The sequence below is a fragment of the Homo sapiens genome, chromosome 22, assembly GCF_000001405.40.
Source record: "Homo sapiens chromosome 22, GRCh38.p14 Primary Assembly".
NCBI lineage: Eukaryota > Metazoa > Chordata > Mammalia > Primates > Hominidae > Homo > Homo sapiens.
The window spans coordinates 37,757,130-37,782,427 of NC_000022.11; the positions used below are offsets into that span (position 1 = coordinate 37,757,130).

At 54.1% G+C, this 25,298-nt stretch overlaps 1 protein-coding gene across 3 annotated transcripts in view, besides 3 other annotated features; it reads left to right on the forward strand.

Annotated features, from left to right (window-relative positions):
• TRIOBP (TRIO and F-actin binding protein) overlaps positions 1-19,427 on the forward strand; it is a 79,509-nt gene extending 60,082 nt beyond the window's left edge. For 2 of the 3 annotated variants that reach the window (NM_001039141.3, NM_007032.5), the window contains 9 exons: positions 484-1,009; positions 2,025-2,135; positions 8,541-8,688; positions 10,945-11,047; positions 11,899-12,058; positions 12,133-12,246; positions 14,521-14,607; positions 15,472-15,635; positions 16,654-19,427. In NM_001039141.3, coding sequence (NP_001034230.1) covers positions 484-1,009; positions 2,025-2,135; positions 8,541-8,688; positions 10,945-11,047; positions 11,899-12,058; positions 12,133-12,246; positions 14,521-14,607; positions 15,472-15,633 — 1,411 coding nt within the window. In that variant the 3' untranslated portion in view covers positions 15,634-15,635; positions 16,654-19,427. Of the gene's footprint in view, positions 1-483; positions 1,010-2,024; positions 2,136-2,287; positions 2,826-8,540; positions 8,689-10,944; positions 11,048-11,898; positions 12,059-12,132; positions 12,247-14,520; positions 14,608-15,471; positions 15,636-16,653 lie in introns of those variants that run through there. The other variant, NM_138632.2, reaches the window with a different exon arrangement.
• Positions 362-526: a silencer, noted in NCBI's record as "fragment chr22:38153498-38153662 (GRCh37/hg19 assembly coordinates)". NCBI's record gives its function as "represses an EF-1alpha promoter that drives an FKBP-Casp9 reporter gene in an ReSE screen in phorbol 12-myristate 13-acetate-treated (for megakaryocytic differentiation) K562 erythroleukemia cells {active_cell/tissue: K562(+PMA)}" and the evidence as "EXISTENCE:reporter gene assay evidence [ECO:0000049][PMID:32094911]".
• Positions 5,312-5,812: an enhancer, noted in NCBI's record as "H3K4me1 hESC enhancer chr22:38158448-38158948 (GRCh37/hg19 assembly coordinates)". NCBI's record gives its function as "activates a minimal SCP1, AML or CMV promoter by ChIP-STARR-seq in naive H9 embryonic stem cells {active_cell/tissue: H9 hESC(naive)}" and the evidence as "EXISTENCE:reporter gene assay evidence [ECO:0000049][PMID:30033119]".
• Positions 24,607-25,106: an enhancer, noted in NCBI's record as "H3K4me1 hESC enhancer chr22:38177743-38178242 (GRCh37/hg19 assembly coordinates)". NCBI's record gives its function as "activates a minimal SCP1, AML or CMV promoter by ChIP-STARR-seq in naive H9 embryonic stem cells {active_cell/tissue: H9 hESC(naive)}" and the evidence as "EXISTENCE:reporter gene assay evidence [ECO:0000049][PMID:30033119]".

The window sequence follows — 25,298 nt, forward strand, 5'->3', positions numbered from 1 at the left end:
GGTGGGAGGAGCACGTGAGCCCAGGAGTTCGAGACCAACCTGGGCAATATATTGAGACCCCATCTCTATCAAAAATTTAAAAAATTAGCTGGGCGTGGTGGTGCATGTCTGTAGTCCCAGCTACTCCAGAGGCCGAGGCAGGAGGATCACTTGAGCTAAGGAGTTTAAGGCTGCAGTGAACTATGATCACACCACTCTACTTCAGCCTGGGCAGCAGAGTGAGACCCTGTCCCTTGAAAAACAAAAACAAGAACGGGGGCGAGGGAAGCCGGGCATCCTGGTGGGTCCCTGGGCTGTCAAGAGGTGGAGCTGGGATGTTCCTGGGGTCTGTTAACCAGGAAGCTCAGGTCGGGCTGCTTCCTTCCCTGGGGTCTGTCTCCAGCCCCTGGCACAGGGCCTGGCACACAGGTGTCGCTCCAAAAGTGCTCATTGTGGGACTGCAGGGGTGAGGACCCACCTGACGTGGCTCTGCTGGTGCCCTAGGCTCTCGGACTCTAACAAGGAGAACGCGCTGCACAGCTACAGCACCCAGAAGGGCCCCCTGAAGGCAGGGGAGCAGCGGGCGGGCTCTGAGGTCATCAGCCGGGGTGGCCCTCGGAAGGCGGACGGGCAGCGTCAGGCCTTGGACTACGTGGAGCTCTCGCCGCTGACCCAGGCTTCCCCGCAGCGGGCCCGCACCCCAGCCCGCACTCCTGACCGCCTGGCCAAGCAGGAGGAGCTGGAGCGGGACCTGGCCCAGCGCTCCGAGGAGCGGCGCAAGTGGTTTGAGGCCACAGACAGCAGGACCCCAGAGGTGCCTGCTGGTGAGGGGCCGCGCCGGGGCCTGGGTGCCCCCCTGACTGAGGACCAGCAAAACCGGCTTAGTGAGGAGATCGAGAAGAAGTGGCAGGAGCTGGAGAAGCTGCCCCTGCGGGAGAATAAGCGGGTGCCCCTCACTGCCCTGCTCAACCAAAGCCGCGGAGAGCGCCGAGGGCCCCCAAGTGACGGCCACGAGGCACTGGAGAAGGAGGTAGGCACCACGGCTGGCTCTCTAGGAGGCCCCTTGCCCCAGCGCCCCTCCAGTCCCTGCATTCATGCCCTGGCATTTGTCTTGCACTCCTACAGTGATGGGGAGCTCACCCCTGATCTGCTGTGAGTGTGCACCCCACACTCCTGCGAACTAGAATCTTCTTCCTTAGACCTTAGTAGTTTGGTTTGGTTTTGTTTTGTTTTTTCCTAGTTCTGCCCTTAGCAGCCATAGAGAAGAGAAGTGGGAAGAGAAGGGAGAGACCTGCCAGGCTCACACCTGTAATCCTAACATTTTGGGAGGCCAAGGTGGGAGGGTCCCTTGAAGCCAAGAGTTTGAGACCAGTCTGTGCGACATGGCAAAACCCCATGTCTACAAAAAAATACAAAATTTAGCTGGGCGTGCTGGTGCATACCTGGAGCCCCAGCTACTTGAGAGGCTGAGGTGGGAGGATGGCTGGAGCCCGGGAGGCAGAGGATGCAGTGAGCCAAGATCAAGCCACTGCACTCCAGCAGTCTGGCAATAGAGCCCGACTTTGTCTCAGATTAAAAAAAAAAAAGAAGAAGAAGAAGGGCGAGACCGTTTATTGTTCATCTTCTGCCCGTGGCCTCCCTGCCTGCACTGACTCGTGGAATCCTCACAGCGGCCTCTACCCCTAGGGTGGACTTCAGCAGTTTTACTGACGGGAAAACTGAGGCTCAAAGATGTTTCCTCTGTCACCTCCATGATGTGTAAACATCTGTGACCACAGTTTCCTTTTCCTATCCCTGTCTAGCCTTCTCTGGGCCAAGGCTCTCCCAGGTCATTGACCTGGCCATCCAGGAAACAGCCCAGCGTGTCCCCTGGCTACATCTCACTCCAGGGCTGCTTGCCCTTCTCAAACCCTGAGGCATTCCTAAGCCTTCCAGGGACGCTGGGCTTGTATCCGTGTGGAGCTGGAAGCCTGCGGGCTCCTCACTGCCTTCCACCAGCCCTGCCCCAGCTTCCAGGTCCCACTGACCACCCTTCTCCCTCGTAGGTTCAGGCTCTTCGGGCCCAGCTGGAGGCGTGGCGTCTCCAAGGGGAGGCTCCTCAGAGTGCACTGAGATCCCAGGAGGATGGCCACATCCCCCCGGGCTACATCTCACAGGTAAGGCCGGGGGGCTGTTTTTCAGGGGGAGGGGGCAGATTTCTGCTTGCCGTGTTATCAGGAAACAGCTGAGATTTTGGGAGCCCTTCCTGTGTGTGCTGGAACCTGTGTGGGGCATTTGACATGCGTCATCTCATTTACTCTCCCCACAGCTGGTGGGCGTGATCACTGTGCCCGTTTTACAGACAAGGCCACTGAGCTCTGAGAGGTTATGTGACTTGCCCAAGGTCACCCCGCCTGCAGGTCTCAAAGGTGGGATTTGAGCGAGGGTCCGGCTGACTGCAGAGCCTGTGTGTGAGTCCCCGTGTGACACTCTGCACTTGGACCCTTGCCCCGGGGAAGTGGGGGGCTAGTGGCCCCGAGAGTCACTCCCTGAACACAGGGAAATCCTGCCGAGGCCCACTGGGCCAAGGCCCCACACAAGGAGGTCTGCAGGACAGGGGAGCCTCCAGTAGCCCTCAGAGAATGCACCGTCCGCCTAGGACAGCGGTTCTCAACGGGGTCCATTTTGTCCCCCTTGGGGACATTTGGCTGTGTCTGGGAATACTTCTGGTTGTCACAACTAGGACAAACTAACTCTCTAGAAAAAACGTGTGTGTGTACACATATATAAGTTTATTATAAATTTTACCAATAAAAACAATGCTTAGTACACAATTTACAAATAAAAATATATAATTTTATTGTGAATTCCGTACAGCAAATGGATTTTTCTCAGAATGCTTTCAGTGATTTTTTCCATACTCTTGTATCCACAACTGATTAACAAAGGGGGTTGTTCTAACGTGTGCTGGTTGACATTTTTGTTTATGGTAATGAGTAAGATGAGAAGACATTTGTCGAAACTTTACTGGTCCATGTTGTCAGCTACTTCTTTGCTAGATCGGATAGTAGTTTTCTATTGAGAATATTTGAGAATATTCTATTAAGAATATTTTTGCAATTTTTTGTTCTATTTACAATGTAATGGTTATAGATGTGAGATACTTCTAAGTTTAATCTGCATTATTAGCATTTTCTTATCACTTGCTTAAGTCTAGACAATCAACAAAACAATAAATCAAGCCCTGATGTGTAATGTTTACCAATTCTGCAGTGTAAATACTCCCGCTGTGGCCAATGCTGCATTACCAGCACAAAGTCCCTGGACAGAGAGTTGGGAAGAGATGTCACACTATTCACTAGGATTTCCACCATGCGGATACAGTAGATGTGATTGGCCCCAAGAGCACGCATAATACAACACAGTGAAATATTTAGGAAGTAATAAATTTGAGTATCTATTGCCTTGTCTTTAACATAGTTAATTTAAAGTATATAAATTTAATTGTTAATGGCTGTGCTTAACAACTACATCACAGAATTACTAAAAATTTGACAATCAGCTGTCTGTAGTTATCACACCATTATCTAAAGTAGAAAAGAAGGGGCCAGGCGCAGTGGCTCACGCCTGTAATCCCAGCACTTTGGGGAGGCCGAAGTGGGCAGATCACGAGGTCAGGAGAACGAGACTAACCTGGCCAACATGGTGAAACTCCGTCTCTAATAAAATACAAAAAATAGCCGGGCGTGGTGGTGCGCACTGTAGTCCCAGCTACTTGGGAGGCTGAGGCAGGGGACCCACTGGAACCCAGGAGGCGCAGGTTGCAGTGAGCCGAGATTGCGCCACGGCACTCCAGCCTGGCGACAGAGTAAGACTCCATCTCAAAAAAAAAAAAAAAGAAAGAAAAGAAAAGAAGGCTGAGATCTAGGCCCTAGGCAGGAGGAGCCTTCTAAAAATTTCCAAGGGGAGGTCACGTCATGAGGGGGCTCTCAGGAAGGCATTGGCTGGGGCATGAGAAGGAAGGCTGGTTGGTGCGTATTGTGGATGCCTCCAGTGCTGAGCTAATAGTTAGAAGCTCTGGCCTGGTACGGTGGCTAATGCCTGTATCTCAGCACTTTGGGAGGTGAGGTGGGTGGATCACTTGAGGTCAAATGTTCGAGGCCAGTGTGGCCAGAGTGGTGAAACCCTGTCTCTACTAAAAAAAAAAAATACAAAACTTAGCAGGGCATGGTGGTGGGCGCCTATAATCCCAGCTACTCCAGTGGCTGAGGCAGGAGAATCGCTTGAACCCGGGAGGCAGAGGTTGCAGTGAGCTGAGATCCTGCCACTGCAGCCTGGGTGACAGTGAGACTCTATCTAAAAACAGCAACAAAAAACAAAACAAACAAAAAAAGAGAAGCTCATTCCACAGACTTTTGGAGGTTTGGGGTCAGACAGTGACATCAGGAAAGTGATGTTGGAGTGGAGGGGGCTTGGGAGAGGGCCAGGTGTAAGGCATTAGGAAATGGCTGAAGGAGGGTGAATGTCAAGGGTCTGGAGGGAGGAGAATTTGGGACTGGATGACCAGATCTACGGAAGGCAGAGGGGCCTTTGGGGGCCCTGAGGCTGGGGCTGCTGCTCCAGGGAAGCCCGGAGACCGTCCTGGGGCCAAGTAGTGGATGGAGTTTCCACTGATAGAGGAGCAGGCAGGGGAATTGGGGTGGGACGCAGAGGGTGAGGCTGGGGGCTTACCTTGTCCTGGGGAGGGGCAGGGGAGGAGCCAGTGTTGTGCCCTGTAGCCTCCCACCCTGAGGCAGAGAAGGGAGCTGGGGGCCCAACACCCCAGCTGAGGCAGGTGGGAGGGCCTCCGAGGCCCCCAGCCAGGGGGCTTCTGCCTGCGTGCTCTGCTCTAAGAAGCTGCAGGGGCTGCTTTCTGGGTGGGTGGGGCTGGGACCCATTCGTACCCACCTATAATCAGAGTGGCTTCATCTTCCTCCATTTTATTTTATTTTAATTTTTTTAGAGATGAGGTCTTTTACTGTCACCCAGGCTACAGTGCAGTGGCACAGAGGCTCACTGCAGCCTCGAACTCTAGGGCTCAAGCAGTCTTCCCACCTCAGCCTCCTGAGTAGGAACCACAGGCTACACCACCATGCCTGGCTAATTAAAAAAATTTTTTTGTAGAGACAAGGTCTCACTATGTTCCCTGGGCTGGTCTTGAACTCCTGGGCTCAAGTGCTTCTCTCATGTTGGCCTCCCAAAGTGCTGGGGGTACAAGTGTGACCACTGCACTGGCCCACCTTTGTCCGTTTTACTCATAGAGCCAGCTTTAGATTTCCTTTAGATAAAGGCTCTGCCACTACAATGACGTTTAAAAGGCACTGCTTTGGCTTCTCAGCTTACTGGTGGCAAAACTGAGGCCCACAGAAGGGTGTGACCTTTGAGCTATAGGCAGACCTGTGTCTGGAGTTCAGGCGGTCTGGTCCCCAGGTGCCCCATTGGGTGCACCAAAGTCTGTCAGTGTTTGGTCCCGTTAGGGTGGGATGGGCACGGGGAGCAGGTGGGAGGGGAGAAGGGAATAACTGGGGAGCAGAGCTGAAGACCAGGCAGGTGGAGGAGTGACCCCAGATGCGGAAGGCAGCAGAGAAGAAGAGCTGAGTCATCTGTATCGCCCTCAGGCACGGGAGGAGGCGGATGGAAATTCGGTGGACCTGGAGGAGTGACAGCTGGGAGGGATTCCCCAGCTGGTATCTCGGGCTGAGTGGGTGCCCTTCCTTCAGGGGTTGGGGGCTTGCTGCTGCACGACAGCTGTCGGGTGGTCTGGGGCTTCACCCACTGGACATCTGGTAAAGAGAACCTTTCCCCACTATTGCAGTGGGGACAGAGGCATTTCTTTATCTACTTTGATGTCCATGTCAAAGGTGGCAGCCAGGATCAGGACACCTTGGGCCACTCAGGAAGGTAGGTGAGAGAGGCCCTAGGAGCCCCTGTTCGTCAGCTGAGTCCCACCTCCTGATGTCAGCCCCTGCACCCCTGAGCTGCTGGGTCTGCCTGCCTGGTCTGGCCCTCTTCAGAAGAGCAGTGCCCACCCCCACATTGCTGGGCTCCCCACTGGTGGATGCTGGCGTACCGTCTCCCTCTGTGCACAGGGTTCCCGTGCCCAGGGAGCCTCGGGGGCTGGTCCTGTGAGGCCTGCTTTACGGATGCCAAGACTGAAGCTCAGAGGGGGCGAGGGGTTTGTTCAGGTTCACTCCAAGGCGCAGCCAGGGTGAAGACCGCCTCTGAGGTCCAAAGTCATGTTCTGTTGTCCTAAGCCAGGAGACACATAGAGGGCAGGAACAGAAGCCAGGGGACAGACACCCCTGTCGCCACATGAAGCTCTTGGCCCTCGCTCCTCCATCAAATCGTCCCCAGGTGTGGCTGCTGGAGAGGCGGGGAGGTGGCCTTTGCGTGGGGGAGACAGTCCCTCATCTGGTCCTCTGTGCCTTAGTTTCTTCCCTGGCTCTTCTTCCCCTTCCCTTTTTAATGACCTTAAACATTTTTTTAATTATATAAAAGAAATGTTTACATTTTCAAAAATAATTTAAACAAATTGAAAGGCTGGAAATCAACACCCTCACACTCCTTCTGCTGCCAGCTGCCACCCCAGGGTCCTGTCGGTGGCTGCTGCCGCCTGCCTATCAGTTTCTGGTGGCAGCTGTAACCTGTAACCACAGCTACCTAAATAATGCACATGTATTACCTCACGCTTCTGTAGGCGAGAAGTCTAACGCGAGTCTTGCCGCGCTGCAGCCAAGGCGTGGGCAGGACTGTGTTCCTCTGCAGGCACCCGTTGTATCCCTTGCCTGCTCCAGCTTCTGGTGGCCGTCCGCGTCCCTTGGCTCTCGGCCCCTTCCTTCATCTTCAAAGCCTGCAGAGGGGAAGTCGAGTCCTTCTCCTGCCACGTCACTCTGACCATCCCTTCCTGGTCACACCTCCCTTGAACTCTTCGCTTCTGCCCCCTTCGTCCACTTTTAAGGACCCTTGTGATTACACTGGGCTTGAGGGATAATCTGGGATAATCTCCCGATTTTAAGGTCAGCTGATTAGCAACCTTGATTCCCTCTGCAGCCTGAATTCCTCTTTGCCATGTAACATGATGTAGTCACAGATCCTGGGAGTAAGATGTGGACAACTTTGAGGGGCTATCATTCTGCCCCCTACAATATCCTCCCTACCTTTTCTGTGTTTTCTGTGTTTTCCATTCACTGGGACGGACAGGTCTGCACGTTTGTTCCCGTGAGTGAGATCATACCACGTGTATGTCAGAAGCCAACTTTCACCACCTCATTTTGGGATCTTTTTCCACAGCATCCACACAAAAACTCTGTCTAGCAGCTGCCTGTGTCCCATTGTCAAGCTCGATCCCATCATTTATTCAAGAGTTCCCCTGATAGGGATTTAGATTGTTTCCAGTTTTCATCTGTTACCAACCTGGCTGTAGGGAATACCCTTGTTCCAAAAGTCTCTGTACACATACGACTTTCTGTGGGATCATTTCTGGGAGTGAACCTACTAGGTCAACCAGTGGGGTCGCAAAATGTGATGATGCCACCGGACCACCCCCAACACACACCGTTGTGGCGGACACTCCCAGCAGTGGGTATTATTAGTCTGAGATACTTGCCCATCTTGTCTACTAAGCATTATTTTGTATTACATCATCAGTTTCAGCTCATTTACTGAGCACCTGCCACATGTCAGGCCCTGGCCTAGACCCTGGGGACTGCGCCAGTCAGATGTTCTCAGTCTTCAGGGAATTTATGGTTTGGCAGAGGTAGAACCTTTTGAGGCAGGGGAGAGGCTGCCCAGAGACAGAGCTAGGAGAGACATTTAAACTGGGCTGCAGGTCAGTAAATTACCCAGGGAGGTAAAGTTGCCAAAAAAACATTCCAGGCCGGGCACAGTGGCTCATGCCTGTAATCCCAGCATTTTGGGAGGCCAAGGCCGGCAGATCACAAGGTCAGAAGTTCAAGACCATCCTGGCTAACACAGTGAAACCCCATCTCTACTAAAAATACAAAAATTAGCTGGGCGTGGTGGTGGGCACCTGTAGTCCCAGCTACTCACGAGGCTGAGGCAGAAGAATCACTTGAACCCAGAGGTGGAGGTTGCAGTGAGCTGAGATTGCTCCACTGCACTCCAGCCTGGGTGACAGAACAAAACTCTGTCTCAAAAACAAAAACAAAAACAAAAAAACCACAAAATTCCAGGCAGTGGGAATAGCTAAAGCTCAGAGGTGTGAACGTGCTGCAACCGTAACTGTGAGATTGCTTGGCAGAGAAAGGCCAGGGATGAGAACGTAAAGGTCAGCCATGGGAACGGGGACTTGACTCTGTAGGACGAGGAATCCCTGGAGGGCTTGAGGCAGGAGCGACAAGGTGAGGTTTGTGAATGAGGAGCCGTGGGGTGGGGGTGGGAGCAGGAGCAGGTGCAGACTGGAGGTGCTGGGACCCAGGAGGAGGTGGTGTACCTGCCCCTGAGCCTTCTCCTCTGGAGGCTGGGGAAGGGCCGCTGTCCAGAGGAACGGGGCAGCCTGTGACACCCTGGCGTCCGGCCCACAGGAGGCATGTGAGCGCAGCCTGGCAGAGATGGAGTCCTCGCACCAGCAGGTGATGGAGGAGCTGCAGCGGCACCACGAGCGGGAGCTGCAGCGCCTGCAGCAGGAGAAGGAGTGGCTCCTGGCTGAGGAGACGGCAGCCACGGCCTCAGGTATGGACCCTGGGGGGGGCACAGTGGGCTGGGCTCTGAGCCTCTGTGCTGAGGTTCCTCCTAGCCAAACTGGGGAGGATTTTATCAAATAAGATGTAGGGGTCTCAGTGCCACATTTGGGGTAAAGGGTCAGCAGGTGTTAGAAGCTCCAAGAACTGGCCTGTAGCCCTACTTAAAAAGGGAAACTGAGGCAGTAAAAGATACCCTCCCCACCCCCAACACCACCACTACCATAGGTGGTGACTCTTCCTGCTCAGGGGCCTGCAGCCACCATAGAGTCTGCCTAAAGGCACATGCTACCCACGTGCGTGGGGGAGAGGCTGATCAGCTGCATCCCCTGTCCTCATAGGAGTGCCTCCTCCCTGGGCACATGGGCCAGACCCTGGGGAGAGCAGGGGAAGGTGTGAGCATTGTCCATGCCAGCTGTGTGCCAGGCACTGGGCCCCACATGTTTCCCACAGGAGCACCCTTCATCCTGGACAATTCCCTCCCCTCCTGCCACCGCACACCTGCTGTGTGCCTGGCACATTCCTAGGCATCACTAGGGGTTTGCAGAACAATAGAAATGCTGGCCAATGTCACATGATCTGAAGCTCACAACCTGCCAGTGCTGTGCCAAGTGCTCATGCACTCGAACCCAGCCTTGGGGCCAGTGTGCTCTGCATTTCAGGAAGATCGCCTTTGCAGCCGCGTGTGTTAGAGACCCCTTCCCCCTCAGCAGAGTCTGGACTTCGCCCTGTAATCTGGCACTAAGGTTTCTGCTGTGAAATGGATAAAAATCACACTTAAGTGGAATAATAAAGACCATAAATAGCCTCATGTCCGTTCAGGGTGGGGATTGCCACCAAAAGATTTACCAGAGGCCCGGTGCAGTGGCTCATGCCTGTAATCCCAGCACTTTGGGAGGCTGAGGCGGGCAGATCACCTGAGGTCAGGAGTTCGAGACTAGCCTGGCCAACATGGTGAAACCCCATCTCTACTAAAAATACAAAAATTAGCTGGGCGTGATGGTGGGCAGCTGCAATCCCAGCTACTCAGGAGGCTAAGGCAGGAGAATCTCTTGAACCCAGGAGACAGAGGCTGCAGTGAGCTGAGATTGCACCACTGCACTCCAGCCTGGATGACAGAGTAAGACTCCATCAAAAAAAAAAAAGGCCAGGCACTGTGGCTCATGCCTGTAATCCCAGCACTTTGGGAGGCCGAGGCAGGTGCATCACGAGGTCAGGAGTTCAAGACCAGCCTGGCCAAGATGGTGAAACCCTGTCTCTACTATGAATACAAAAATTAGCCATGCGCGGTGGCAGGCGCGTGTAATCCCAGCTACTCAGGAGGCTGAGGCAGGAGAATCGCTTGAAAGTGGGCGGCAAAGGTTGTAGTGAACCAAGATTGTGCCACTGCACTCCAGCCTGGGTGACAGAGTGAGACTCCGTCTCCTGGGTGACAGAGTGAGACTCCGTCTCCTGGGTGACAGAGTGAGACTCTGTCTCAAAAAAAAAAAGAAAGAAAAAAAGGAGAGAAACTTTCAATGTTCAGAAGTTTCGGATTTTAGAATTGTGGGTAAAACCATGGGTGGCCCTGAGTGGGAAAAAAAAAGCCTCGGTCTCAGTCCTTAGGAGCTCACAATCTGAGAATAAAGCCAGCAGGAGCTAATGTTGGGGCATTTACTCTGAGCCATGCTTTGTTCTAAATTCTTCACACACCTTCCAATAACCCCATGGAGGAAAGGTACTGTTGTTATCGATCCCTGTTTTCCAGATAAGGGATCTGAGGCACAAGGGGTTAAGTCACCTGTGCAAAGTCACATCGGTTTATGCTGACTGTGGAGCCTGAGCTCTTGACCACGAGGCTGGTCAAAGCAGATAGGCCTTGTTTGAGAGCCCTCAGAGTCTGCAGGGGGGGTGTACTAGGTGGGGTCCTACCTGGAAATCACTAGAACAGGAGGTACCAATGGTCAGACCCTGAGCTGTCTCCCCAGTAGGGTCCATCCAACAGGATTATCTTCCCTTAATAGATGGGCTGAGAGAGGTTGAGAGCTTACCCCAAGCCACTCAGTTTATGACACAACCTGGGCTACTCTAGACTCCTGGTTCGGTGCTCTTTGCATAGCACTCCTTGGTCCAAGTCCATAGTACTTGCATAGTACTATGTGGAGTCCACATAGTACTCCACCAGTACATGTGGCGTCTCAGAGCTGGTGGCACTTGGTGCTGCTGACCCCCCTCCAGTCTCTCTTGTGCCTCTCTGCCCTGCTTCCAGCCATTGAAGCCATGAAGAAGGCCTACCAGGAAGAGCTGAGCCGAGAGCTGAGCAAAACACGGAGTCTCCAGCAGGGCCCGGATGGCCTCCGGAAGCAGCACCAGTAAGATGATGCCGGGGCCCAACTGCCCACCCTGATGGTTATGGGTTGAGGAACTTTGCTGAGGCCCCTTGGCAGCGGACACATCAGTTTGCCCCTAGCTGAGATTCCTGCTCCAGTCTCATGGATGCAAGAAACAGAAGCAGAAGGTCCTCAGGCAGACCCCATGCCAGTCCTCACAGACAGTCCTTCAGGCAGCTTCTTGTCTTGGCTGGTCCCAGCCTCCACCCACCTCTTCACCCCTTTAGTCTCCCCTGGAGCTGGGCTGCAGTGTCACTGTTGACCACTAGGCCTCTCCCTGCCCCAGAGCACAGTTTTGGAATGTTGAGGTTTCAGGGGCTTTAACTTTAAAGATGGGCCCCTCCAGCCGGGCACATTGGCTCATGCCTGTAATCCCAGCACTTTGGGAGGCTGGGATCAGGAGTTCGAGACTAGCCTGGCCAACATGGTGAAACCCCATCTCTACTAAAAATACAAGCTAGCTGAATGTGGTGGCGGGAGCCTGCAATTCTAGCTACTTGGGAGGCTGAGGCAGGAGAATCGCTTGAACCCAGGAGGCAGAGGTTGCAGTGAGCCAAGATTGTGCCATTGTATTCCAGCCTGGGCAACAAGAGTGAGAGCAAGACTCCATCTAAAAAAAAAAAAAAAGATGGGCTCCTCCAAGCCACCCTCACTTAGGGTAAACACCTGTAGCCCAGAGAAGCTGTCACTGGTTCACAGCCCCACAGCAGGCTAAAGGCAAACCTAGAGAGGGAACCCCAGAGTCCTGGGATGCTTTAAGTCTACCTGACTGGACTCCAGGCTTGGCAGGAGCAAGACAACCTATGCTCTCCTCTGCTCCTCCTCTGGGGCAGGTCAGATGTGGAGGCACTGAAGCGAGAGCTGCAGGTGCTATCGGAGCAGTACTCGCAGAAGTGCCTGGAGATTGGGGCACTCATGCGGCAGGCTGAGGAGCGCGAGCACACGCTGCGCCGCTGCCAGCAGGAGGGCCAGGAGCTGCTGCGCCACAACCAGGTGGGCCTGGCCCCAGGTTGGGGGGACACGGGTGGGTCCCGGCACCCCTCCCCTGACCACCGTGCCTCTCCCAGGAGCTGCATGGCCGCCTGTCAGAGGAGATAGACCAGCTGCGCGGCTTCATTGCCTCGCAGGGCATGGGCAATGGCTGCGGGCGCAGCAACGAGCGGAGTTCCTGCGAGCTAGAGGTGAGTGTCCTCACTAGCACCAGGCAGCCCAGTGGTTCTCGGGGCCCGGGGCTATGGGGCACCCCCGCCATAGGCTGGGTATCACCTGTGGCAGGAAAGCCAAGTCTCCCAGTGGCTGGGCCAGCCTGACTAGGCTAGAACACCTACTGTGCATCCAGTAGCCAGCATTCTGCCCTCCCACCTGCATTGTGTCACCTACCTGCCGTGTACCATAGCAAATCACTCCACTTTTCTGAGTCCCAGTAGCTCATCTGTAAAATGGCACCAGCACCTTCCTTACTGGGAAATATTGGGGTAAGAAAATATGTGTGTATGTGTGTGATGCCAGTATCACTGTAGTATTTTCTTTCTTTTTCTTTCTTTCTTTTTTTGAGACAGAGTCTCTCTCTGTCACCCAGGCTGGAGTGTAGTGACACGATCTCAGTTCACTGCAACCTCTGCCTCCCTGGTTCAAGCGATTCTCCTGCCTCAGCCTCCCAAGTAGCTAGGATTACAGGCCTGCACCACCACACCCAGCTAATTTTTTATATTTTTGGTAGAGACAAGTTTCACTATGTTGGCCAGGCTGGTCTCGAACTCCGGACCTCAAGTGATCTGCCTACCTTGGCCTCACAAAGTGCTGGGATTACAGCATGAGCCACCACACCCGGCCTTAGTATTTATTTCTTTACTTTTTTTTTTTTTTTGAGACAGAGTTTTGCTGTTGTTGCCCAGGCTACAGTGCAGTGGCGCGATCTCGGCTCACCACAACCTCCGCCTCCCAGGTTAAAACGATTCTCCTGGCCGGGCGCGGTGGCTCACGCCTGTAATCCCAGCACTTTGGGAGGCCGAGGCGGGCAGATCACGAGGTAGGAGATCAAGACCATCCTGGCTAACACAGTGAAACCCCGTCTCTACTAAAAATACAAAAAAATTACCCGGGCGTGGTGGCGGGCGCGGTGGCGGGTGCCTGTAGTCCCAGCCACTCCGGAGGCTGAGGCAGGAGAATGGCATGAACCTGGGAGGCGGAGCGTGCAGTGAGCCGAGATCGTGCCACTGCACTCCAGCCTGGGTGACAGAGCGAGACTCCGTCTCAAAAAAAAAAAAAATATTAAAAAAAAAAAGCGATTATCCTGCCTCAGCCTCCCAAGTAGCTAGGATTACAGGCATGTGCCACCTCGCCTGGATAATTTTGTATTTTTAGTAGAGACAGGGTTTTTCCATGTTGGTCAGGCTCTTCTCGAACTCCCAACCTCAGGTGATCCGCCCACTTCGGCCTCTCAAAGTGTTGGGATTACAGGCGTGAGCCACCGTGCCCAGCCGATATTTTATTTCTCTTTTTTTTTTTGAGACGGAGTCACTCTGTCACCCAGGCTGGAGTGCAGTGGCACCATCTCGGCTCACTGCAAGCTCCGCCTCTCGGGTTCATGCCATTCTCCTGCCTCAGCCTCCCGAGTAGCTGGGACTACAGGCACCCGCCACCACACCTGGCTAATTTTTTGTATTTTTAGTAGAGACGGGGTTTCACCATGTTAGCCGGGATGGTCCCAATCTCCTGACCTCGTGATCCGCCCGCCTCTGCCTCCCAAAGTGCTGGGATTACAGGCGTGAGCCACCGCTCCTGGCCCCAATATTTTATTTCTTCAACAAACACTTAGGTGAGGCTCACTCTGTACCTAGAAATTCTGGAAGCCCTTTTTGTCTGTTAACTCATCTAATCTTCCTGACAGCTCCATACATTAGCTACTATGACTGTCCCCATTTACAGATGAGGAAACTGAGGCACAGGAAGGTCAAGTACCTTACCAAAGCTTTTATAGCTGGACTGGGATTTGAACCAGGCAGTCTGGCTCCAGTCTGAGCTTTTAAGCCTCCCCAGTCCTGGCTGAACTTGTTTCCTCCTTGGTCAAGTCAGCAGCACCTAGCCCTCGGGGTTGGGGAGGGGTTAATGAGGTGCCTTGTGGAGTGGTTCAGCCTGCTCAGGTTTATGTAGGGCTTCTTTTCATCCATCTCACTCCCGAGGTGAGAGCCTGGTGCTGCATGAGGGCTGCAGCAGACTTGACCGTGAGATATCCACTCACACGGGCTGGACAGGGGTGAGAGTAAGGGAAGGCAAAGCAGGGGAATCGGAGAGGGCTTCCTGGAGGAGTCCGCCTCCAGGATGTAGAGGGTTTTTGTGCAGATAGGGGCTGCATTCTAGGGGCCTGAGGCAGAGAGAACCCGGGCTGCAGGGCACTATGGGCCAGGGTAGCTCTGGCTTCTGGCCCTGGGTCAGTCCAGCACCTATATCCCCAGGTGCTGCTTCGCGTAAAAGAAAACGAACTCCAGTACCTAAAGAAGGAGGTGCAGTGCCTCCGGGACGAGCTCCAGATGATGCAGAAGGTAGGTCCTTCCGCTGGGCTGGGGGCCGTCGGGGACTCTGGAGCCATCTGGATGCCATCCTGTGAGCACCTGCTCTGTGCCAAGCCCTCCACTCGCTTCATCCTTCCTCAGGCTCTCCTGTGCTTCTCCCATGTAGGTGTCATCATCCCCATTCACTGACAGGGAAACTGAGACTAAGAAAGGGGAAGTGACTTCCCCAAGGCTGTACTTGGCTTCTGTTTATTTAGCATTATTTAATTTATTGATTATTATTGAGCACCTACTATATCCTGGGCACTGTGCTAGGTGCTGGGAAGACAGATGTGAACAAAATAACCCCAAATCTCTGCTGTGGGGAGCTTGCACTCCAGTGAGAATAACCACGTTGCTAGGAGTTGGGTGGGTCAGGGTTCAGCCCAGGTCTGAGTCTGCAGCCCGCCTGGCCCACCCTTGGCTGCTATGTCACTGCCTGGTGCGCTCTGTCAGTTTGGGGCAGGAAGTGGACATGTTGGTGGCTCTGTAAGTGCACGTGAGCCAGACCGTGTTTACCGCACTTGAAGAACAGGTGGCGTGAACTCACAGGAAGGGCCCGAGCACCCAGCCAGGCTGACCTGGTTCTCATCCCAGCCACTCACTGCCCTGCGGTCTTGGTCAAAATCTTCTCCCCCGAAACAGGATGAGGATGACAATGACGCCTGTGTCCCTGGGTGGTACCAGGGAGGTGGGAGGGGTAAGCCCAGAACCCACGGCCATCTTGGGGAGCCACCTGGAGGGATGAAGCGAGGTATCTGCGGGGAGGTCTGGCTGCTGGTGCTGCCCATGTGCCCGGTTGGCAGGGCTGGAGGGAGAGACTTCATGCCCTCATACCTGCCTCCTGCCCCCCAGGACAAGCGCTTCACCTCGGGAAAGTACCAGGACGTCTATGTGGAGCTGAGCCACATCAAGACACGGTCTGAGCGGGAGATCGAGCAGCTGAAGGAGCACCTGCGTCTTGCCATGGCCGCCCTCCAGGAGAAGGAGTCGATGCGCAACAGCCTGGCTGAGTAGAGGTGGATGCCGAGGCGTGTGCCCTGCAGGGTGGGCAGGGGCTGAGGCTCTCCCACACCCGGGACTCCCTGGACCACCCCAGCCAGGCCACTTCCTTCTTCTGGCCTCCAATTCCCGTTCTGTAAAAAGGACAATGAAACCAGCAACACGGGGTTGTTGCAGAGATCCCATCAGACCCGGGCCACAGGCTGCTTCATCAGCTTAAGCCTGTTCCTCCAGAGCTGGGCGGCACAGTGCAGAGCCACAGCCTACTCAGTGCACCCCCCTTCTTGGGGCTGGAGGCAAATGCAGCGTGCACATCCCTGACCCCCACAGTGAATCTCCACTGAGCTTCACACACACACATCGCACGCTGAGGCCGGGCTTCTATCCCAGTTAGTCTTAACACTCCTTCTTGACTTAGCAGGGCTCAAAGTGGTTGGTTGGTTGGTTGGTTGGTTGGTTGGTTGGTTGGTTGGTTGGTTTTGGTTGCTTTGAGAAAGGTCTTACTCTGACACCCAGGCTGGAGTGCAGTGGTGCAATCACGGCTCACTGCAGCCTCAACCTCCTAGGCTCAAGGGATCCTCCCACCTCAGCCTTCTGAGTAGCTGGGACCACAGGCCCTCACCACCATGCCCAGATAATTTTTGCACTTTTTGTATAGGTGGGGTTTCGCCGTGATTTCCCAGGCTGGTCTCGAACTCCTGGGCTCAAGCAATACACCTGCCTCAGCCTCCCAAAATTCTGAGATTACAGGTGTGAGCCGCTGCACCTGGCCAAAGTGTTCTTATTTTTGCTTTTTCAACGCCACATCTACCTGGAGCATCCTCTTTCTGATAAGTCCTCATGGACTTCCTATGGCATGCAGGAGAGGCCACCCTATGGCTGAGCTGCTTGGGAAGGAGCCAGGAAGAGCGGATCTGGCTGTACCTTAGGGGCTGAGAGGTGGTGGAAGGACCCACTCAGCACCCTTGCTTGGCCTTGGGGTGGCCTCGCAGCCCCTCAGCCCAGGCCTCAGCCCTGCCGCACCTTGTCTTTCAGGTCCCGCCCAGCTGCAGACCCTCCAGGCTGGAGGACCAGCCGCCCTCCTTCCCTCCTGGATGGAAGTAAAAAGCCAAGCTTTCTCCCCACCCTCTGTGGGCCACACGTGCACTTGCACCCACCACACACACACACACACACACACACACACACACAGACACACAGACACATACGCACACACGTGCACACATGTACACACGGATACACACACACACACACACACTGCATATCTGAGCGCGCCCCTCGCACTGGGTCTCACCTTGCACCTTCTTCAGGATTTTATATGTGAAGAGATTTTTATATAGATTTTTTTCCTTTTTTTCCAAAACACTTTATACTTTAAAAAAAAAAAAAAAAAGCAATTCCTGGTGGCTGTGTGCCTCCAACCCTGGTCCCCCTCTGTCTCCAGCCACCCTCTGCTTGGGCTTCTGAGCTGGTGGCCCTGGCCCAGAGGTCTGGCGGAGGCCCAGGCAGCAGCCATGGCGGGGTGTCTCTACAGGGGAGAGGCGGGAGCCTGCCACCCTCTTCCTGCCCTACCTCCTACTAACACTTCCTGCCCCATTTGGACCCGTACCATGGGGCTCAGGACAGAGGGAGCTAGCAGCTGGCCTCCATGGCCCCACAGCCTCCTTCGAGGCTGTGCTGGGTGCAGAACCGCCAGAGCCACCCAAAAGGTGTTTCTCTTCTGCTCCCTGAACCTCTTAACTTAATAAAACGTTCCAGCAGCTCTGGTGTCCTAGATGGCTGGCAGAACAGGAATGGAGATTGGGGTTTCTTGAAGTGGCTTCCCCACTCACACCCTACCCACACCCCACCCTTCCTAAAGCAGCGGCCTCTAGGCTTCTGAGGGTGGGGCTGAAAATCCAAGGTCTCCCTTAGTACAGACTGTGACGCCCCCAGTGTGGCTTGCAGGCTAGTGGCAGCGGAAGCATGTGGGAAATAGCAAGTCCAGTCCCACCCCAACCTACTGAACCAGCGTCTGCATTTTAACAGGGTGCCCCAGTGATTCACGTGACCTTCAAAGTCTGAGGAGCCCTGGAGTAGGGCCCAGGGCCCAGGCCTGAGAGAGAGGCCTGGGGCTAAGACTAGCCCTGACCATGACCTTGGGCAAGTCACACCCCTCACTGAGCCTCAGTTTGCTTCTCCATCAAATGGGTGTTTTTCTTTCAGTCCCAGTCCTCTCCTGAGGCTTTTCCCAGAGGTCATGCCCAGCCCTGGGCAGGGGTGAGGGCAGGGTTGTGGCTGCCAGGCACAGGTCCAGCGGGCTGGGAGTCCTCACCATGGCTGGCTGTGCTGATTATGGTTGCATGGGGCTGGGAAGAGGTCCCATTTCTGAGCCACAGAAACAGGCCACATCCAGTAGGGGTCCTGGAAGGCTGTGAGAACCCAGAGGAGACCCTGACCCAGCCTGCAGGTAGAAGACTGCCTTTGGAGGCAGCTTTGAAAGATGACTCTTCCAGATGGAAGAATCAGGAAGGGCCTTCCCACGTGGAGGCACCAGCAGGAGCAAACGTCCCTGGTGTGTTCAGGCAAAGAGCCACAGGAGAGTGACCTCGTGGAGTGGGAAGAGATTGTTTCCCATTCCCTTGCCAGGGATTGGTTGAGGAATGGACAAGGCTTGCAGTTCACGCAAGCCAGTGAAATGCGAGGGGAAGTCTTGGGAGTGGGGTGGAGGAGGTCATCTGGGAAGGGTGTCCTTGGTCTTAAAAAGAGGCACAAGAGGCCGGGCGCGGTGGCTCTTGCCTATTATCCTAGCACTTTGGGAGGCCAAGGCAGGGGGATCACTTGAGGTCAGGAGTTCGAGACCAGCCTGGCCAACATGGTGAAACCCCGTCTCTACTAAAAATACAAAAAATTAGCCAGACGTGGTGCCAAGCACCTGTAATCCCAGCTACTCAGGAGGCTGAGGCAGGAGAATCACTTGAACCCAGGAGGCAGAAGTTGCAGTGAGCCAAGATCGCGCCACTGCACTCCAGCCTGTGTGACAAGGGCGAAACTCCATCTCAAAAAAAAAGGGGGAGGGTGGCGCAAGGAGAGGACACCTCTCTCCTGGCCCTGTCGCCATCTTCCCTCATCAATAGCTAAAAATGGCAAAGAAGAAAGAGCCAGGACCCCGTGCCATCAAATCCTCCGGCCTTGTGCTGCCCTGTCTCGGCACTGCTTGCCTTAGGAGATCAGGAGTGTTCCTAGCCACTGGGAGATGGGATGCCTGCCACTGGCAGCTCTGCCGTCCATCCTCACCATCCCACCGTCCCCCCAAGACAGCTCTCCATCCCATCCTCTGCCTCCCTTCTAGCCTCAACCTAACTCAGGGCTCCCCCGTCTCACACCTGGGTTGCAGGAACATCCTCTTCACCAACCCCCCTCCCATCCCTCCTCAGGGCTGCCTAGGGCAGCTACAAAAACCAGGCCAGCCTCTGAAAGGTGCTCCACATCTCATTAAAAACCGTGAAATCGCACTGCCCCACTATCAGAATAGCTCAGAGGAGAAGGTCTGCCAGTACCAAGTGCTGGTGGGGATACGGAGAAGAGCAGCTCCCAGGCGCTGCTGGTGCAAATGTGCTTTGTTGCACCCACGGCAGGAAACTGACCAGCTTCTCATCAAGTTAAATACGCATCTACCCTATGGCCTAGCATTTCCACTCTTGCTTACACATCCAGGAGAAATGAGTCCTTACATGCACAAAAGGATGAGTACCGTAATACTCACATCAGCAAATAAACAATACAGCTGTGTGTCAGTAGTAGAATGAATAAATTGTGGTCGATTCATACGTTAGAATACAGCAATTTAAAAACAACTGCTACACACAAAAATGTTGGTGAATCTTTCAGACACAATGTTGAGCAAAAATAGCCACAGAAGAGTGTAAGGCTGTACGATTTTATTTAGGTGAGGTTCAAGAACAGACAAAACACGGTGATAGTGGTCAGAAGAGCGGGTACCTCTGAGCTGAGGGCATTGACCAGCAGTGGGCAAAAGGGAACATTCTGATCCCAGAAATGTTCTATATCATGGTCTGGGTTGTGGTCACGTGGGTACATACAGATGTAAAAATTCACCATGCCGGCCAGGCATAATCCCAGCACTTTGGGAGGCCAAGGTAGGTGGATGACCTGAACTCAGGAGTTCCGAGACCAGCCTGGCCAACATGGCGAAACCCCGTCTCTACTAAAAATACAAATAATTAGCCGGGCTTGCTGGCGCATGCCTGTAATCCCAGCTACTCGGGAGGCTGAGGCAGGAAAATTGCTTGAACCCGGGAGGCGGAGGTTGTAGTGAGCCCAGATCGCGCCATTGCACTCCAGCCTGGATGACACAGCGAGACTTTGTTTAAAAAAAAAAAAAAATGCCACGCCTTGCACTTACGATTTGTTCATTTTTACTATGTGTGAATCACGTCTCAATGGTGCAGGGGGTGGGAAGAAGCCTGCTTTACAAAAGAATAAGCCAGGGTTCCAGCAGGCTCCCAGATGAGCCACCTGGGAAATGGCCCTGTCACCGCGGCCGCAGGGAATTTGACCAAAACCACGTGGTTTGGCTGCAAGTTCTGGTCAACTGCTTCAGGCAGCCAGGCATGTGCTCTGTAAAGAAAACAAACTGGTTTCAGATGAACCTGCCAGGTCAAACCCTACCTGCTGCCTCCAGCTGGCTAGGTGAGCCTTACTGAGTCACATCTCTCTCTGGGCTTTACTTCCTCTTCTGATAAATGGGAACAATAACGTCTACCCCAGAGGACTGTGTAGGTGTTAAATTACCAACTGTTTCAGTTATCTATTGCTGTGTCGCCAACAACCACATATGTAATGGCCTAGAATACCACTTTTTAAATATTCATGGTCCTGTGGGTTGACCTGGCTCAACCTCTTTGTGTCTTTTTTTGAGATAAAGTCCCGCTCTGCCGCCCAGGCTGGAGTGCAGTGGTGTGATCTCGGCTCACTGCAACCTCTGCCTCCTGGCTTCAAGTGATTTCCTGCCTCAGCCTCCCAAGTAGCTGGGATTACAGGTGCCCGCCACCACGCCCAGCTAATTATTTATGTTTTTAGTAGAAATGGGGTTTCACCACATTAGCCAGGCTGGTCTCAAACTCCTGACCTCAAGTAATCCACCCACCTTGGCCTCCCAAAGTGCTGGGATTACAGGCGTGAGCCACCGTGCCCGGCCTGGACATCTTTCTCCACATGGCCACTTCACGGGGCTAGCTTGGGCTCCTTACAGCATAGTGGACTTGGGACAATCTGACTTCCTACATTGTGGTTGACTTCCCCCTAGAAGAGGAGTTCTGGCCAGGTACAGTGGCTCACGACTGTATATCCAGCACTTCAGGAGCCCGAGGCAGGAGGATCACTTGAGGCCAAGAGTTAGTTCGAGACTAGCCTGGGCAACACAGCAAAACCTCGTATCTACAAGAAATTAAAAAAACAAAAAAACAATAGCCAAGCAGCCCGGGTGAGGTGGCTCACACCTGTAATCCCAGCACTTTGGGAGGCCGAGGCAGGCAGATCACCTGAGGTCAGGAGTTCGAGACCAACCTGATCAACATGGAGAAACCCCATCTCTACTAAAAATACAAAATTAACCAGGCATGGTGGCATGCACCTGTAATCCCAGCTACTCAGGAGGCTGAGGCAGGGAAATCACTTGAACCTGGGAGGCGGAGGTTGCAGTGAGCTGAGATTGCGCCACTGCACTCCAGCCTAGGGAACAGAGTGAGACTCCTTCTCAAAACAAAAGCCAGGCATGGTGATGCATGTGCCTGGAGTCCCAGCTACTTGGGAGGCTGAGGCAGGATGATTGCTTGAGCCCACGAGTTGGAGGTTGCAGTGAACTGTGATTGCTGCCACCGCACTCCAGCCTGGGCAACAGAGTGAGACCCATCTCTAAAAAAATAAAAACAATAAAAAGTAAAGGGAGCCTCAACAGCCCCAAGTGGAACCTACGAGCTTCTTATGAATTTGGCTTGGAGGTGCTGCAGCATCCCTTCCATCACTTTAGTCAAAAATGAGTCGCACAGCCAGCCCAGGTCCAATGGGAGAGGCGGCAGCAGGGCCTGAGCGCCGGAGGTGTGGTTCACTGGCAGCCATCTTTTTCCTCTGTTTCTGCTTCAGCTACACCCCAGCTCCTCTTTAGTCCCCTATGTGGAATTCTCATTTTCTTCCCAGCCCTCTGATGTGCTTCCCTGGAGTCTGTCCTCAGCAATCCTCTGTTCTCTCGTGAAGACTTATTTATTTACTTACTTAGAGACGGAGTCTCACTCTGTCTCCCAGTCTGGAATGCAATGGCACAATCGGCTCACTGCAACATCCACCACCCAGGTTCAAGGGATTCTCCTGCCTCAGCCTCCTGGGTAGCTGGGACTACAGGCAGCCGTCACCACACCTGGCTAATTGTTGTATTTTTAGTAGAGACAGGGTTTTACCATGTTGGCCAGGCTGGTCTCGAACTCCTGACCTCAAGTGATCCCCCTGCCTCGGCCTCCCAAAGTGCTGGGGTTACAGGCGTGAGCCACCATGCCCGGCCTCTTGTGAAAACTTGATCTCTCATCCTTGGCTTTTGTTACTGTCTGTGCTAACCATCCACATCTGTCTCCAGCCCAGACCTTTTCCATGAACTCCTAAGACCTGGTCAGCCTCAGTCTTAAGGCTGCCATCAAGGCCCTGTCCTCCCTGCAGCCCGTTCCTGTTCAGTGTATTCTGCCTCGTGAGTCAGCCTCTGGAGTAGGCCCCGGGGATGCAACATGGAACCAAGCATTCTCCCTTCAGGAGGGAGGTGAAATTGGAATCAGGTGATTAATTACAAGAAGCCACAGCACAGAGGGTGTAGCAGGCCCAGCCTGGAAGGTCAGGGGAGGCTTCTTGGAAGAGGAGATGCTGGAACCGAGCAGGATAGAGCTAGGCTGAGAGGGGGAGAGAGTGCCAGGTCCAGTGAGCGTCAGAAGCTCAGCAGAGTTCAAAGGCTCTGAAATGGCTGCAGCTTGTGTGTAGAGGGATTCGAGATGAGCCTGCGGGGACAGGCTGGAGCTGGAATCTGATTTTGCAAGGACAGTGGGGGTCATGTGTCCAAGCTCTAGCTTTGTGCTTAACCCAGTGGGAGGCTATTGGGGAATTTTATGTGAGCAGTGCCTTGGCTCAGAACAGCGATCTTGGTCATCCTCAGCACATGGGGGCTATGGAAGGCCCTAAGTTGACCTAGGGTTTGGTGCAGTGGGAGAGAAGAACAGAGGATGAAACCCCGAGGAAGGGCAGAAGCCCGTAAAGCAACTGAGAGGTTCCCAGCAGCCCAAGCGAGCGAATGTTTCAGAGTGATGGAGCGGGAAGCGCCCAGGCTCTGGTGTCAGATGGCCCTCCGTCCGTCCCCCTGCTCTCAGCTCTGCAACCCGGGCAAGTTACATGACCTCTCTGTGCCTCCGTTTCCTCATCTGTAAAGCAGGGATAGTAGTACCTCCCTCCCAGAAGTATTATGAAGATGAGAAATGCGCTCATGTGTATGAAGTGCTGAGAGGGTGCCTGGGACTGAGTTAACAAGGTACATGTGAGCTGTTAAGACTATTGTGATGTGCTGCTGTTTGGGTGTTGTGAGGATTGGATGAAAAGGTGCATGTTGCCAGACGCGGTGGTTCACGCCTGTAATCCCAGCACTTTGGGAGGAAGATGCAGGTGGACCACCTGAGGCCAGGAGTTCGAGACCAGCCTGGCCAACGTGGTGAAACCCCGTCTCTACTAAAAACACAAAACCTAGCCAGGTGTGGTGGCGCACGCCCGTGATCCCAGCAACTCAGGAGGCTGAGGCAGGAGAATCCCTTGAACCCAGGAGGGGGAGGTTGCAGTGAGCTGAGATCGTGCCACTGCACTCTAGTCTGGGCAGCACAGCGAGACTCTGTCTAAAAAAAAAAAAAAGCGGGGGGTGGCATGTCAAAAATGTGGCCCAGGGCCGGGATTAGGGAGGATTTAGAGCTGCTTGCTTTATTTATTTATTTATTTATTTATTTATTTATTTATTTATTTATTTATTTTGAGACAGAGTCTTGCTCTGTCACCCAGGCTGGAGTTCAGTGGCGCAATCTCTGCTCACTGCAAGCTCCGCCTCCCGGGTTCACGCCGTTCCCCTGCCTCAGCCTCCCGAGTAGCTGGGACTACAGGCGCCTGCCACCAAGCCCGGCTAATTTTTTGTATTTTTTAGTAGAGACAGTGTTTCACCGTGTTAGCCAGGATGCTCTCAATCTGACCTCGTGATCCGCCCGCCTCGGCCTCCCAAAGTGCTGGGATTACCGGCGTGAGCCACCGCGCCCAGCCTAGAGCTGCTTTATTTTTATTTTATTTTAATTTTTTTTGAGACGGCGTTTCACTCTGTCACCACACAGGAGTGCAGTGGCACAATCTCGGCTCACTGCAACCTCTGCTTCCTGGGTTCAAGCAATTCTCTTGCCTCAGCCTTCTGAGTAGCTGGGATTACAGGCACGCACCACCATGCCCGGCTAATTTTTGTATTTTTAGTAGAGACCGGGTTTCTCCATGTTGGCCAGGATGGTCTCAATCTCCTGACCTTGTGATCCGCCTGCCTTGGCCTCCCAAAGTGCTGGGATTACAGGCTTGAGCCACGGCGCCTGGTCTGGAGCTGCTTTAGTATTAGTTGGATGTTGCTGCCCTCAAGGTCCCCAGGAGATCCGGCTCCAGTTGGCCAAGCCCCAGTTCCATGGCCTGTGAGAATCCCGACCCGTCCCTCCTAGGTTGGCAGGTGCCCACAGGTCACTTTTCAGAGCTTCCTTTCTGTTGGGGTTGGGGAAGATGTGCTGCGAGGCACAGAGCCAGGCCCTCTGGTGGTTCCACAGTAGATCCGCTGGCAGAATTGTGCTAGGAAAGAGCTCTCAACATCTTGCCCCAGCACCACCCAGACCCCCAGCAGGTCAAGGGCACCTGGCAGTCCAGGAGGGTTTGACCTGGCCACTGGGTCCTGCCCGACTTCCCCTACCCCCACCAAGCCCTGGCTGGTTCCCCTTCCCTCTCTCGGCCGCTGCTGTTCCTGGGCCCCATGCCCCTGCCCTGCTTGCCTCCTCCCTCATTCCCAGACAGGTTTTCCCTCCTGTCCAATCCACACACCCACAGCGGGGGATTTCTAAAACTGGGAGCGGCCATGTTGCTCCCCTCTGTGAATCTCTGCCCTGACTCCCTGTTCCCTTGGGATGGGGTTCTGGCATGCAAGCCCCTCTGTCTGCCGTGGTCTCCTTTCTCTACCCCTTTGGATCCGCTAGGCTCCAGGCTTCCACTGCACGGAGCAGTAGCGCACTCTTCCATCCTCACTGCCGTCCCCCTGCATGCACTTTCCACTCCCAGCCCCTCCCCGGCAGACCCCCTAAGACTCAGGACTCAGATCAGTCATCATCTGCCACCTCCAGGAAGCCCCCCAAGATCCCCTAGATGGGGATGGAAGCCTGCTCTGGATCCCACAGTACTTGGAACTTGACATGTTTTTTCCTTATGGCTCCCCCAGACTGTGAGCCCCCTGAGGCCAGGGACCAGCTCTGAATCGCTTCTGTGTCCCCACTGCCCAGTACAGAGCACTGGTGTCTGTCTCCGAGGGATGAGTGTTTGTTGATTGACGGACTGACTGACTGGAAGTGAATGACCACTGAGTCAGTCACCCTCAA